The 14,431-nt window shown below is 52.4% G+C and overlaps 1 protein-coding gene across 2 annotated transcripts in view, besides 2 other annotated features; it reads right to left on the reverse strand.

Moving 5' to 3' along the window:
- The window catches only part of C6orf132 (chromosome 6 open reading frame 132), a 41,502-nt gene that overhangs the window by 22,716 nt on the left and 4,355 nt on the right, over positions 1-14,431 (reverse strand). Inside the window, exon 2 of one of the 2 annotated variants that reach the window (NM_001164446.3) lies at positions 4,838-4,944. In NM_001164446.3, coding sequence (NP_001157918.1) covers positions 4,838-4,944 — 107 coding nt within the window. Of the gene's footprint in view, positions 1-2,097; positions 2,999-4,837; positions 4,945-14,431 lie in introns of those variants that run through there. The other variant, XM_047419258.1, reaches the window with a different exon arrangement.
- Positions 12,428-13,125: an enhancer, noted in NCBI's record as "OCT4-NANOG-H3K27ac-H3K4me1 hESC enhancer chr6:42104000-42104697 (GRCh37/hg19 assembly coordinates)". NCBI's record gives its function as "activates a minimal SCP1, AML or CMV promoter by ChIP-STARR-seq in primed H9 embryonic stem cells {active_cell/tissue: H9 hESC(primed)}" and the evidence as "EXISTENCE:reporter gene assay evidence [ECO:0000049][PMID:30033119]".
- Positions 12,821-13,060: an enhancer, noted in NCBI's record as "active region_24542". NCBI's record gives its function as "activates an Ori minimal core promoter by ATAC-STARR-seq in GM12878 lymphoblastoid cells {active_cell/tissue: GM12878}" and the evidence as "EXISTENCE:reporter gene assay evidence [ECO:0000049][PMID:35858748]".

Consider the following 14,431-nt stretch of genomic DNA (forward strand, 5'->3'; position numbering starts at 1 on the left):
TCCTACCCCCTCTGAAGTTTGGTGGCTCAAATCCAGCTCCTCACGGCTCCCCAAGCTGGAAGGTGGGGTTGCGCCAGTAGCTGGAAAACCTCCCTTTCCAGAGGCGGAAGCAGAGCTCAAGGAGGGGTCCATGTGTCATTAGGGCCTGGCTTCTCCGGTGGCCCTCCAGGGAGCTGACCACACCATCTACCCTTCCGTTAGGAAGTCATTTTAACACAGAAAGTCGTGGCTGGGGAGACCCTTGAGGACTATGCAGTGTGACCCCCACTGTTGGGTGAGGAGCCAGAGGCCCAGGGAGAGGAAGGGACTGGCCTGCAGCCACCCCGCATCCCAGCAGCAGAGCTGGGACTGGTGTCAGCTGCTGGAGTATTAGCCCCTGGTCCCATCCCAGCCACTGAGGGATCCCGAGGTCCTTTTCCTAGCTGGCCTTTGGCTGCTGGATGCCTGATAAACACTTCGTAATTCCCAGCACCCACAGCACACAGAACAAGGGAACTCTGGGGAAGGGGGCAGAAGCGCCTGTTGCTGCCTTGTCTCCTTCTCTCTAGCTCTGTCCCCTGGCAGGCTCCTGTAGGGCACTGACAGGGAGGGTAGGCTCAGAAGATGGCCCAGGCCTGGAGAGAGCTCACAGGCCCTCGAGGGGCCTGTCACCTGACTTCTTGGGCACTGCTACCTCGTACCTCCCCTACCCACTGGGCAGCCTGGCCTGGGAGGTGCCTCTGAATGTGGGAAGGGAGGACAGGGAGGGGTGGAGGCCTGGCCGGCTGGGACAGTGTCAGGCAGGGCTAGGCACCGGCCCAGCTCCCCACCCACCCTGACTTGGTGGGGCTGGGGGACGGGGTGTGTGCGTGTGCATGTGTGTGTGAGCCCACACCCACACAGAGCTTGTCCTCCCTCTTCTCCCCATCCTTCTGGCCTTCTGTCCCTGCTGAAAGAAAGCAAAGGACCTGGCTAGGGCCTACAGGAGAGGAGTCAGAAGCTCAGACAGGAGAGAATTAAGCCGCCAGCCGGATTCCCCTCCACCCGGGAGCAAGCGACGAACGACATGGAAGCTGCCCTATCTTGTGACCTGAGTGAGGAGCACAGAAGAGTCCCTGTGATGTGGGCCACTGGGCCAAGGGTTCCTAATCTAAAGGCATATCATGGGTGGGCTTCAGTCCCCTGCTGAAATTGTAAGCAAAACTAGATGTATGTGGCTCACAGCCTCATCATGGCGTCAAAAGCATCTATGAGCCAAAAGTGGCAAGAGGCCTGGTGCCCAGCAGGCCCAGGCTGCTGGACAGGGATTCAGAGAGGCAGGCAAGGGAGGTGGGAGTGGTTTTGCCGCCTGGTCCTGGAAGGAGAAGGAAAAAGCTTCTATGTAGCAGGTGGAGGGAGAGTAGAACGGTCTGAATAGAACTTGGACCCTGGAGCCTGGCTTCAGGGATTCCAGTCGCGCTCTGCCACTTAGCCGCAATACCTTAAGCAAGTTACGCCACCCTGTGCCTCAGTTTCCCTGCCTGTAACATGGGGATTAATGACAGCACCTTGCTCGGAGGGTGGCTTTGTTAACACACATGGTCCACGTGGAATGGTGCCTGGCACACAGTGAGTGCTCAGCATACGGTGGCCACGATCACAGGCCGTGCCACTGGATGGGGTTGGCAAGTGGCTCCATCTGCCTTTCCCCGGTTAGCCAGCACCGAGGGAACGAGTGAACTTCCCCTTCCTGGTTCAGTTCCTGCCTCTGTAAAATGAGGCCCCTTTCAGCCGTCGGTTCACCATGTGTCCATTCTTTCACCCTCACCAGTGAGGGGGTGTGAGTTTTTAGGGAGAAGCCCCCATTTCCTGGGACTGGTTCTGAGGCTTGCCCAAAAGAACTGCTCCCAGGAAGTATTTCCCCAGGACAGCCTGGAACTCAGGCCTGACCAGCCAGCCCAGCCCACTCCAGGGGCCCCAGAGCCTTTGGCCAGGTCTGCCTGGGGTCTATGCAGCCCCTGAGTCATGTTCTGCCCAGACCAGATCCAAACCAGAGCCAGAGAGGGCTGGAAGGTGAGGATTTGCTCTGGTCTTTGAGGGGCCCATAGCAGATAGCTGGGGGGAGATAAGGATGCCCACCAATCAGAACGAACTCAGCTGGGCCCACATTAACTCTTTAGTTGCTGCTTTTGGGGGTGGTCCAGATCTAGGCGAGGGGCAGGACAGCAGGAGCCACTCCAGGGGCAACATCCGTTTCTACTGTGTAGAGAAGTATTTCTGTTTTGTTTTTGTTTTTTGTTTTTTTTTGAGATGGAGTCTCGCTCTGTCGTCCAGGCTGGAGTGCAGTGGTGCAATCTTGGCTCACTGCAACCTCCGCCTCCAGGTTCAAGCGATTCTCCTGCCTCAGCCTCCTGAGTAGCTGGGATTACAGGTGTGTGCCACCACACTCGGCTAATTTTTGTATTTTTAGTAGAGACGGGGTTTCACCATGTTGGCCAGGCTGGTCTTGAACTCCTGACCTCATGATCCACCCACCTTGGCCCCCAAAGTGCTGGGATTACAGGCATGAGCCACCACACCTGGCTGTATTTCAGTATTTTATTTGTTTTTTTTTTTTTATTCCCATTTTACAGATGAATGTTTTAGTATTTTACCGACTGGTAGAGGTGTGTCAACTCTGGGCCCACACTGCTATGAATCTGGGTATGTGTGCTGAGGGTAAGTGATAGGAGAGAATCTAATTAACCTCCCAATATAGAGTATTTCAGGCTGGGCGCGGTAGCTCACGCCTGTAATCCCAGCACTTTGGGAGGCTGAGGTTTGTGGATCACCTGAGGTCAGGAGTTCGAGACCAGCCTGGCCAAAATGGTGAAACCCTGTCTCTACTAAAAATACAAAAAATTTGCCGGGCATGGTGGTGGGCACCTGTAATCCCAGCTACTTGGGAGGCTGAGGCAGGAGAATCGCTTGAACCCAGGAGGTGGAGGTTGCAGGGAGCCGAGATCACGCCATTGTACCACTCCAGCCTGGGCAACAAGAATGAAACTCAGTCTGCAAAAAAAAAAAAAAAGAATATTTCAAACAATTTTATCTGCATTTATGGGTGCAATCACTTCTATCAGAGTTTTATGCATTCTCTGGAAACCAAGTTAGGGGCTGACTCATTTGGTTTTTTTCTTTAAGACAGGGTCTCACTCTGTCACCCAGGCTGAAGTGCAGTAGTGCAATCATAGCTAACTGCAGCCTCAACCTCCTGAGCTCAAGCAATCCTCCTGCCTCAGCCTCCCAAGTAGCTGGGACTATAGGCACACACCACCACACCTCACTAATTTTTAAATTTTTTGTAGAGATGGGGTTGGGCTATATTGCCCAGGCTAGTCTTGAACTCCTGGCCTCAAGTGATCCTCCCACCTCGGCCTCCCAAAGTGCTAGGATTCCAAGCTGACTTATTTGATTTATACCTTGTTGGTGGTGGTGTTGCACTTTCTATATTTATCTATAATATCCACGAACTGCTTTTATAAGCAGAAAATTAATTATTTAAAGTTGTATTCCCAGAGAGCTGTGTGCTCAGCCCTCCACAGAGAGGACTTAGAGATGCACCAAGGAGAATGTAAGACTGCCTCTGTCCCATCTAGAATCTTAGGTCTGATTGTTGAAGTTGGACATAGCAGAAAAAAACCGGTGATGGGGAGAGGAAGGTGGTTGTGCCAGGCAGGCAGTGCTAGGCAGCAGGTATGGGGACCCAGGACCAATGTGTGGGGTGCCATGAAGTCTAACAGGCCCCTGAGAGCTCAGACCAGGGCAAGGGGCCTTTCAGTCCAGGCAATACTAAACCCTCATGGAGGCAAGAGGATGCCGTGACCCCAGTGACAGCATTGTGCCACCCATGACCCAGCTCCGACAGACAGGAGTGAGCCTTAAATCTAGGAGCCTGGCTGTTTAGGCCTGGGCTGTCTAGTACAGCAGCCACTGGCCACAAGCAGCCGTTGAGCACTTAAAATGTCTCAGTCTGTCAGAAGCGGGATGTGCTATATAAGTAGTACACCAGATTTTTAAGACTTAGCATGAAAAAAAAGAATGTAAAATAGCCCATTAGTATTTTTTATATTGATTAAATGTTGCAATGACACTCTTTTTTTTTTTTTTTGAGACGGAGTCTTGCTCTGTCACCCAGGCTGGAGGGCAGTGGCGCCATCTTGGTTCACTGCAAGCTCCGCCTCCTGGGTTCATGCCATTCTCCTGCCTCAGCCTCCCGAGTAGCTGGGACTACAGGTGCTTGCCACTACACCGGCTATTTTTTTTTTTTATATTTAGTAGAGACAGGGTTTCACCGTGTTAGCCAGGATGGTCTCGATCTCCTGACCTCATGATCTGCCCCCTTGGCCTCCCAAAATGCTGGGATTACAGGCGTGAGCCACCGCACTGGCCACAATGACACTCTTTTGAATATACCGGGTTAAGCAAAATATATTTGTCTCCTGCAGTGGGCAGGGAGCTCCTTGAGAACAGCAAGGCTGGCCCAGTCATCTCTGTATCCAGCACCTAATGCAGGGCCTGGCACAAAGCAGACAGTCATCTGTGACTGTGGAAAATGAACCCTGCTTGGCTGAGGGTACCCACTGCTGTATCACTCCTGCACACAAGTTCTCCATAACTTCTCCTTGGGCTTGGCCCTGAACGAGCTGGCATTCCTAATCCTAGACTTCCTACCATGAGCCTCGACCATGCCTCCTTCCAGTAGCCCCCCTTCCCGCCGGGTCAGCATCAGGAAGGAAGGGGTGGACAGAGGGTGCAGCTGATGTCCACTCGGGCTAGGGCAGCCTTGGTGTCCCCAGCCAGAGCAGACTCTCCAACCTCAGAGCAGAACCGTACTCACCAGCGGAAGGAAGGTCAGCAGGGGCCGGACTCTTGGCCGAGCTTTCAGCGTGGCTGTTCCTGACTCGCTCACTGTGTTAAACCGATTGTCTCCATAATAGATGCCATCTAGAGAACACAAGTGAGGGGACACCATAAGCTGGAGATCCAAGGCATCCGGCCACCCAAGTTTAATCTGCCCTTCAGCTCCCAGTGAGGAAAGCCAGGGCCTGCGTGTCTCCCAGTGTTGGATTCAGCTAAGCGCCTCTAACATAATCAGATCTTATGGATGAGATGTGCACTAATGGGGCCAGCTGAGGTGGCGCTGGGTGAGGGACTCGGTGTTCGTGGGGCTTTCAGCCCTCTGCAGCCATCTCTCTCCCAATCCATAACCACCACGCTGTACCGTCCTGAGCCTTCTCTCCCACAGCAATGGTCCCTCGTTTTTGGAGCCCAGGAAGCCCGGCTAAGGGCCCAGCTGAAGCTTATCTCAGAGAGGGAGGAAAACAAGCTGGCTTTTCCCTCGAGTGTTTGAATTTCTAATCTGAAACATGCAGAGCAGATGAGGCCACCTGCTGTCCGCAGTGGCCAATATCCCATCATCTGGACTCCCTAACTCAAGATTTCCCTGACCACCAAACCACAGATGGTTATGTACATGGCTTGCTTTAATGCACCCTTGAGGGCAGAGCAGAAAAAACGGGACAGTAGGGTCAGTGTGACCTGGTTAAAAAATCCCAGCTCTGCCACTGACTGCCCATGTGGCTTAACCTCTCTGGGCCTCAGTTTTTCCCATCCGTACAGTGGGAGTGATGATAGTGCCGTATAGCACTGTTGTGAGGAGTGAGTGTGGCCAGGGCATAGTAAGTGCTCAGCAAACATGGTTGCTTCCCCTGTAGGAAGATGATATGAAGGACCTTCCTCTTCCTCCAGTTACTGAGTCTGTGCTCCATGCTGCTCTATGGCAGTGGGAGGATGTGAGGGGCTACTCACATCACATCACATCCCTTTCTCAACTCCCTCATGACCCTTGATACACACTGACAAGAAATTCACACTCCCTTGGCAGGGATCGCTGTGGCCCTCCTGCTATGTGGCTCATGAGCAAAGAGGGCTTTCTTCCATTTAACGAAGTGTGGAGGACTTTCCTCGATAGCCAAAGAGGAGAGAAGAAAGGTTAGAATCCCAGTTAGCCAGAAGTCTGCTAACTGGGACATTGAGCTAATCATGATTACTTTTCTCCTTGTACATGACTTTAGGAGAAAATTGCAAGAAAGCCAAATGATTTATTCAAGAGACTGGGCTTGTCAGGAAGATCCTGGGATCAGACTACATCCATCCCAAATCCCCACACCGATAGCCGCAGCACCCCATGCGAGCATCTGGGCTTTGGATGTGACAGGGAGGCTCCTGGGAGCGCCCCAGCAGCTGGAGGTGGTGTCCTCCGTGTGCTGCCCTCCCAAGGCAGGAAGCTGGCTGGGACACTCAAGCTTCTCCACGTCTCAAAAGGGGCCCGAACGTCGGGTTCTCCGTGTGCTCCGCACGTCCCTGGAAACTCCAGTTCCCAGCACTGCCCTGCCCCATGCACTCTGGGCAAATATGATTTTCCAGTCCCAGTTGCCAGTCTCCATGCCTGAGGCTGCAGACCAAGATCAGACAGGGCATGCGGGAGGGGAGCTGTAAGATCTGACTCAATGGGAAACAACAAAAGTAGCTCACACCCAACAGCCACCACGAAAGCCCCCAATTCCCTCACTTCCGAGAGTCTGCGTGTTGACACTAGGATCTCCTGGGGCATTTTCTAGAGAGTGCTGTGTGGATGCCAAGGCCCTAGACCTGACGTGATGTGGCTACCTGGACCCTTAACAGGACTGGGGTGGGGCGGGGATTGCCACAGGGACTGCACGACAGCCACGCTCCTAGGCAAGGCCCTAATCATTTCATCTCTGCACCGATGTTGGGATCTAGGGAGCCTCCTTCCTACAGTTGTTATTGTCATATTAATGGCTACTCTTATTGGGTGCCTAGGAGCTTTAGAAGTGTTATACCTGAGCAACTTGGCAAGCATGATAACTGTAATAGTAATAATAATAAAAGGTAAAAACTTACTGAGCATCTTTTTTTTATCTTTATTTTTTTTGAGATGGAGTCTTTTTTTTTTGGTTATATAGATGAGAGGTTTCTATGTTGCCCAGGCTGTCCTCAAAAGCCTTGTCTCGCCTCTTTATGTGCCAAGACAACAGGCCTGAGCCATTGTGGATCCCTGTGCTCTGTCGCTCAGGCTGGAGTACAGTGGCATGATCTCGGCTCAGTGCAACCTGTGCTTCCCAGGTTCAAGCAATTCTCCTGCCTCAGCCTCCGAAGTAGTTGGGATTACAGGTGTGCACCACCACGCCCAGCTAATTTTTGTATTTTTAGTAGAGACGGGGTTTCACCATGTTGGCCAGGCCTGTCTCAAACTCCTGAACTCAGGTGATCTACCCACCTTGGCCTCCCAAAGTGCTGGGATTACAGGTGTGCGCCACCACACCCAGCTAATTTTTGTATTTTTAGTAGAGATGGTGTTTCACCATGTTGGCCAGGCTGATCTCAAACTGCTGAACTCAGGTGATCTACACACCTCAGCATCCCAAACTGCTGGGATTACAGGTGTGTACCACGCGCCCAGCCTACTGAGCACCTTTAATGGTCTGGGCACTGTTCTGAGCATCTTACACATTATTAATTCATTTAATTCTCAAAACAGCCCCATGCAAATTGGTAGTCATTATCCCTGTTTTACAGATGAGGAAACTGAGGCACAAGGAGGTCAAATAACTTGCCCAAAGACTCACAGTAAGTGTTGAAGCCAGGGTCTCCCTAAAGGGCCTGACTTCTAAACTACCATACATACACCCCTAAAGGGAAGAGCCATAATCCCACCATGTACGGGGGTGAGGAAGGCTCGGCTCGGCTCTGGCCAAGGAGCAGCTCTGGGAAGCAACGGGAGGTGAGGCAGCTTGTTCGAAGCCTGCTGGTCAGGATGGAGTCGGATCTGAACTGTGGCCGTCTGACCCCCAAGCAGGCGCTCTAACTGCCTCACAGATCCCATGACTCAGCCCTGACTCTGAGCCATTGTTGTTTTGCTTGCTTTGTGGTTGTTTTAAGCAGTGAAATCCTTTCTAAGAACATAATTGTTCTCTGTAAAACATATAGAAGGGTAGTGGCTGTAGTTGAGGCCGGGTTGGAAGGCCCAGGTGGCTCCTCTCGCTACCAGGCACCTCTGGAAAATCGGATTTGATTTCCCAGTCTGAAGAGGAGTGGGTAGGGGTCAGAGAGGGAAACGTGATACGGGAGCAGAGGTGGGGTGATGCGCTGTGAGAGGCGCTCAGCTGCCATGGCTGGCTTTGAAGATGGAAGGAGGCTACTGGCCAAGGACTGTGGGCTGCCTCTAGCAGCCAGAACAGGCAAGGAAACAGACTCTCCTGGAGCCTCCAGAGGAACAAAGTCTTGCCAACACCTTAATTGAGCCCACAGAGACCTGTGTCAGAGTTCTGACACGCAGAATTGTAAGATAGTAAATTTGTTATCAAAATAAAAAAAGGGGCTGGGTGCGGGGGCTCACACCTGTAATCCCAGCACTTTGGGAGGCCGAGGCGGGCGGATCACAAGGTCAGGAGATCGAGACCATCCTGGCTAACATGGTGAAACCCCGTCTCTACTAAAAATACAAAAAATTTGCTGGGTGTGGTGGCATGCACCTGTAGTCCCAGCTACTCAGGAGGCTGAGGCAGGAGAATCACTTGAACCAGGGAGGCGGAGGTTGCAGTGAGCCAAGATTGCGCCACTGCACTTCAGCCTGGGGGACAGAGTAAGACTTTGTCTCAAAAAATAATAAGAAGAAGAAGAAGAAGAAGAAAATAAGAAAAGGAGGTGTGGGGCTGGGCGCGGTGGCTCACACCTATAATCCCAGCACTTTGGGAGGCCGAGGTGGGTGGATCATGAAGTCAGGAGTTCAAGACCAGCCTGGCCAATATGGTGAAACCCTGTCTCTACTAAAAATACAAAAATTAGCCGGATGTGGTGGTGGGCACCTGTAATCCCAGCTACTCAGGATACTCAGGAGGCTGAGGCAGGAGAACCGCTTAAACCCGGGAAGCAGAGGTTGTAGTGAGCTGAGATTGTGCCAGTACACTCCAGCCTGGGTGACAGAGTGAGACTCTGTCTCAAAAAAAAAAAAGAAAAGAAAAGAAAAGAAAAGAAAAGGAGGTGTGGCTGCAATCAGGCCAACTCTCTGGGCCCCTCAGACCTGGCCTAGCTCCTGCTGGGTGGAGGCACAGCATGAGGTGAGGCGCGTGTGTCTATCTCCATCAGCTAGATCCTCAAAGCATTCAAGGTCAGAACTGGGGTCTTCCCAGCCTCAAGGTCAAGGCCCAAAACTAAACAAAGACAACAGAGCTCAACCTTGGGGAATTTCCTATTGGAAGTGATGAACTTTGCTCAGATCACAGGTCAGGGATGCTGAGGCCTTCCTGAGAAGCAGCTCCCTCCTCAGTCGAGGAGCTAAAGGAGGGCTAGGAACATCCTGGTTTCCCTTGAGGAAGGAGGGGCGAGGAGGAGGTGAAGGGGGTGCCTGGAGAGGAGGCTGGATGATTTGCTCTCGGAACAAGACTGCAGTGAGAAAGAGGGGCACAGCCCCGTGTCTCATCCACTCTGAAACTTGCAAACTCCCTTGGTGTCTGGCTTTTTCTGGAAAAGTCCTTCGGGATCTCAGAGGTTTTATGCTTGCCACATGCATGGACCACAGAGGCAGCATTGGAACATCCAGGTGGGATTCAGAAAGCTGGAAAAGGAAGGGAGATGCCCCTGGACCCAGGAGCTTCCAGAGAAAGAGAGTCCTGGGGCAATTCCAGCAGCCAGGAAGCCTTGTGAGACCCCAGCAGCAGGTTCTGAGCAAGGCCTGAGCCCCAGATGGACCACAGTCCTGTCAAGATACAAACTTCTGACAAACTCACATGCAAATAATGCAGTGATAAAATAGGGGTAAATCCAGGTCTGCCTCCATTGACCCAAACCTGATCTTTAAATGAACCAAATTTCCCCCCAAATGGAATCCTATTTATGACAAGATTATGCATAGGATTACTTTAGAGTTTCTCCCTAACAATTTCTCCCTCATAGAAGGAGACAGGGGCGGGGGCGGGGCGGGGCGGGGCGGGGGAGGTGGATTTACACTCCCTCAAGGATTTGAGTTGACATAAATATTAATACCATCTAACATCCAAAAACCTGTTCCAAAAACAATTCCTGGTGCCAAGCAGGAGACTTCACCCCAGATTTCAACCTGGGTACAGGCAGCTCCCCTCCTGCCCCTTCTCCCTCAGGAGAACCTGGCTCTGCCATGGGCCAGAGGGCAGCAGAGTTGTGGCTGAGGCTGCCTGGGCTGTGAGGAGACCATGGCTGAGGTTCTGCCCTGGCCGGAAACACCCAGTAGTCGAACAGCTCCTGGCTGGGACGGGAGGCAGGACCTTATGGGGTCAAGGCTATGGGTTTAGAGCCCAGCTGAACTTGGGTTCCAGTTCCGGCTCCAACACTTAACTGTGGGATCCTGGGAGCCTCACTGGTCTCTCTGAGGCTGTCTCTTTATCTTTGTACATGTGAACAGTGGTCCCTGCTGGGCAGGCTGATGTGAGGTTGAGTGAGAGAAAGTGTGCAAAAGTCATCAGCACAGTGCCTAGCAGATATTTATGCTCAATAATTGGGAGGGTTGGCTGGGAGTGGTGGCTCACGTCTGTAATCTCTGCATTTTGGGAGGCTGAGGCAGGAGGATTACTTGAGGTCAGGAGCTCAAGATCAGCCTGGCGGCCGGGCACAGTAGCTCACGCCTGTAATCCCAGCACTTTGGGAGGCCAAGGCGGGTGGATCACCTGAGGTCAAGAGTTCAAGACCAGCCTGGCCAACACGGTGAAACCCCGTCTCCACTAAAAATACAAAAATTAGCTGGGCGTGGTGGTGGGTGCCTATAACCCCAGCTACTCGAGAGGCTGAGGCAGGAGAATTGCTTGAACCGGGGAGGCAGAGGTTGCAGTGAGCCGAGATTGAGCCATTGCACTCCAGCCTGGGTGACAAGAGCGAAACTCCATCTCAAAAAAAAAAAAAAAAAGACCAGCCTGGCCAACATGGTGAAACCCCATCTCTACTAAAAATACAAAAATTAGCCAGGCGTGGTGGTGGGCGCCTGTAATCCCAGCTACTCAGGATACTCGGGAGGCTGAGGCAGGAGAATCACTTGAACCTGGGAGGCAGAGGTCGTAGTGAGCTGAGATTGCGCCACTGCACTCCAGCCTGGGCAACAGAGTGAGACTCTGTCTCAAAAAAATAATAATGATAATTGGGAGGGCTGGTTATTGTTGTGATCGTCATTTTCTCTCTGCTCCACCTTACTTCCTTCCACCAAGAGTTTGGGCTGTGAGCTTGAGCTGGGCTGTGTCACTTGCAAATCATGGTGACACCTGTCCCCACTGGGGAGAGCCACCGGGAGGCAGGCGGCCCTTTGGGCCCTTTGCTTTCTTGTTCGGGTTCACTCTGAGTCCTGATGCCTGGGGCTGAATAGCCCTCTTTGCAGCAACCCAGAGTGGGAGAGGCTGGATCAAGGTTGCCTAGCAGGGGTCAAACATGGCCCCTGACTTGCACTGCCTTACGCATGGCAGGGCACGTGGCTCCCTGCCTCTCCCCAACAGGCAGACCTGGCTCTCTCAGCCTGGGCTGGGGTACGTGTTAAATGTGGCGGGTGGGCCAGCTCCGGGCGAGCTGAGAGCTAGGTACATGCTGCCACAGGACGCCCAGCCCTTCTTTTCTCCCTTGCTCCCCGAGCGGAGGAGCCTCACTGAGTCTTCTGCATTTCTTTGCTCACAGAGTTCAGGGTTGGAAGGAATGTTCTTCCTCCCTCAGCCCCAAAGCTGCTCATGGATCTCCATGGAAGCTGAGGTCAGAAAGATTCTGGGACAGTTATTTAGTTCTTTCCCCACATTCTAGCTAGGTCCAAACTAGAGAGAAAATTAATTTGATTAATTAAATACTTAAATGTCTAACATCTATTAAGCCTGTGTTATGAGCAAGGCACTATTCTAAGCCCTCACCACCCCATGGGGGAAGTACCCTTATTATTCCCAATTTGCAGTTGAGGAAACTGAGGCTCAGAGAGGTTAAGTCCCTTGCCCAAGTTCCCACAGCTGGTGAGTCAAAGGGGCCGGGATTCCAGGCCAGGCAACATGACTCTAGACTCTGATTCCCTCATGTCATAGCCAGCATGGCAGGGAAGGAATGTAGGGATTCAGCGTCTCTCCCCTCCATCTCTTGTTTTTCCTGAATGAGACTTGAAAGTTGGTAAGGCCTAATGGGTGCAGCACACCAGCATGGCACATGTATACATATGTAACTAACCTGCACATTGTGCACATGTACCCTAAAACTTAAAGTATAATAATAATAAAAATAATAAAAAAAAAATAAAAACTTACCTGTAAGCCATCCAAAAAAAAAAAAAAGAAAGTTGGTAAGGCCTGGAGGGGAGGAAATGGGCCTAGGAATCATATCTGGATTCACATCCATATAATACCTGAGGACACTGAACACTTTGTCGGGCTGTTTCCCCACCTGTAAAATGAGGATGATACTTTTCCGGAAGCCTCCCAAAATCAGGAGAGGGAAGGAAGCTAGCCGGAGTGAGAGGAGGGCTGGGGCCCCAAATTGCCAGGAGCCCCTAAATGACTTCAGGAGCACCGGCTACAGATCTAATTGGATTCCTGGGGCTTAGGAGGATTCGGGCCTTAGCTTGGGGAGTTTTTGCCTTGACTAAGAGTAACCCAGAATCCCAAAACAGACCTCTTTCTACTTCTCCCTCACCGTAGATATAGAATGGGGGTGCTGGACAGTGAAGTATGAAGTGTGGCATCCAATCATCGGCCACTAGGGGACCCCCTGCCTTTCAGGGAAGCAGCGGGGGCGGCCCCATGTGAATGTAACTCACAGATGGCTTTAATGAGGCCTTTCCTTGCTAATTAGCAAGTCCACAGGACAGGAGCCTAAAAAGGCCAGTCTTTCCCAGCAAGTCCCAGCAGGCCTGACCTGAGGACCAGAGAGAGGCCTTTGTCCAAGGGCAGAGGGGATGCTGAAGATTCGACTGGAGTGGAGGGGAGGAGGGGCAGGGAGCCACAAAGTAGAGGAGGACGGAACAGAAACGGAACAGAATGGCGCCGCCCCCCCAGCCCTGCAGGTGGGACTAAGGGGGAGGAGCAGAGTGAACAGGGCCCTCGGCTTCCAAGCTAGGACTCGCCACTCAGTGTGCAGACCCCAGAACTTGTGAGAAATGCTGACTCTCCCTTCATCCCGAAACTACCGAAACAAATCTAATCTTAACAAGATTCCAGATGACTGGGTGCACTTTGATGTTTGAGCTACCCCGGACTGGAATGGCTGAGTCATTTCACCTATCTGAGCCTTGCTTCTGAGTCTGTTTCCTCAATTGAGAAGACATTCAAAGCTTTTAGTCCAGAGCCTGGTGACAATAATTACATTACTGTCATTACTCTATTGGCTAGGAGAGAAGGGGCACCTTGTAGCTGGTCTGTAGGGGTCAAGGGCAGGCCTGGCTTTCTGGAGTTGAACTAGAGTGACAAGAGAAGCTTATACAATGGGGCGGCGGAGGGTGTATATGTGTGCACTGGACTGCCGGCAAACCACAGCACACCTCCAGGGAACAGGAGTAAACAAAAGTTGGTAGGCTGGTGCCAGCCTGGCCCTGGTTGGAAATATATGCTCAGCTCCTGACTCCCGGGGTAGGAGGTGGGAGTTTCCCACTCTTTAGCCGGGCCTGAAACAAAGGGTCAGGAGACCCAGGGAACAGGAACACCAGAACCTGCAGCCACACCAGAGGGCACGAGGGTCCTCCTGATAAGGAGCTGGTGACATTCTTTCCATATTTATGTAGAACCTACCATGTGCCCTGCAGGGAGTCCTAAAGGGAAAGAGAATAGCCTTGCTCCATGTGGGGAAGGAAATACCAGGATTCTCATATCTTCCCGCACAAAACAATTCCCCTGGAGCTGGTTAAAAACCCAGAGCCCAAAGGCTGGGCGCGGTGGCTCACGCCTGTAAATCCCAGCACTTTGGGAGGCCGAGGCAGGGGCGGGGGCGGGGCGGGGCGGGGCGGGGCGGGGGAGGTGGATCACGAGGTCAGGAGATCGAGACCATCCTGGCCAACATGGTGAAACCCCGTCTCTACTAAAAATACAAAAATAGCCATGTGTGGTGGCGCAGGCCGGGGAGGCTGAGGCAGCAGAATCGCTTGAACCCGGGAGGTAGAAGGTTGCAGTGAGCCGAGATCGTGCCACTGCACTCCAGCCTGGCAACGGATCGAGACTCCGTCTCAAAAAACCCCCAGAGCCCAGACCCTAGCCCAGAGATTCTGACTTCCTGTGCCTGAGGTGGGACCCTAGGAATTTGAAATTAATTAAATTAATTTTTTTGGGTGGGGGAGGACAGGATCTTGCTCTGTCACCCAGGCTGGAGTGCAGTGGTGCCATCATAGCTGACTGCAGCCTCTATCTCCCAGGCTCAAGCAATCCTCCTGCCTTGG

The sequence above is a fragment of the Homo sapiens genome, chromosome 6 (assembly GCF_000001405.40).
Source record: "Homo sapiens chromosome 6, GRCh38.p14 Primary Assembly".
NCBI classification, from domain to species: Eukaryota; Metazoa; Chordata; class Mammalia; order Primates; family Hominidae; genus Homo; species Homo sapiens.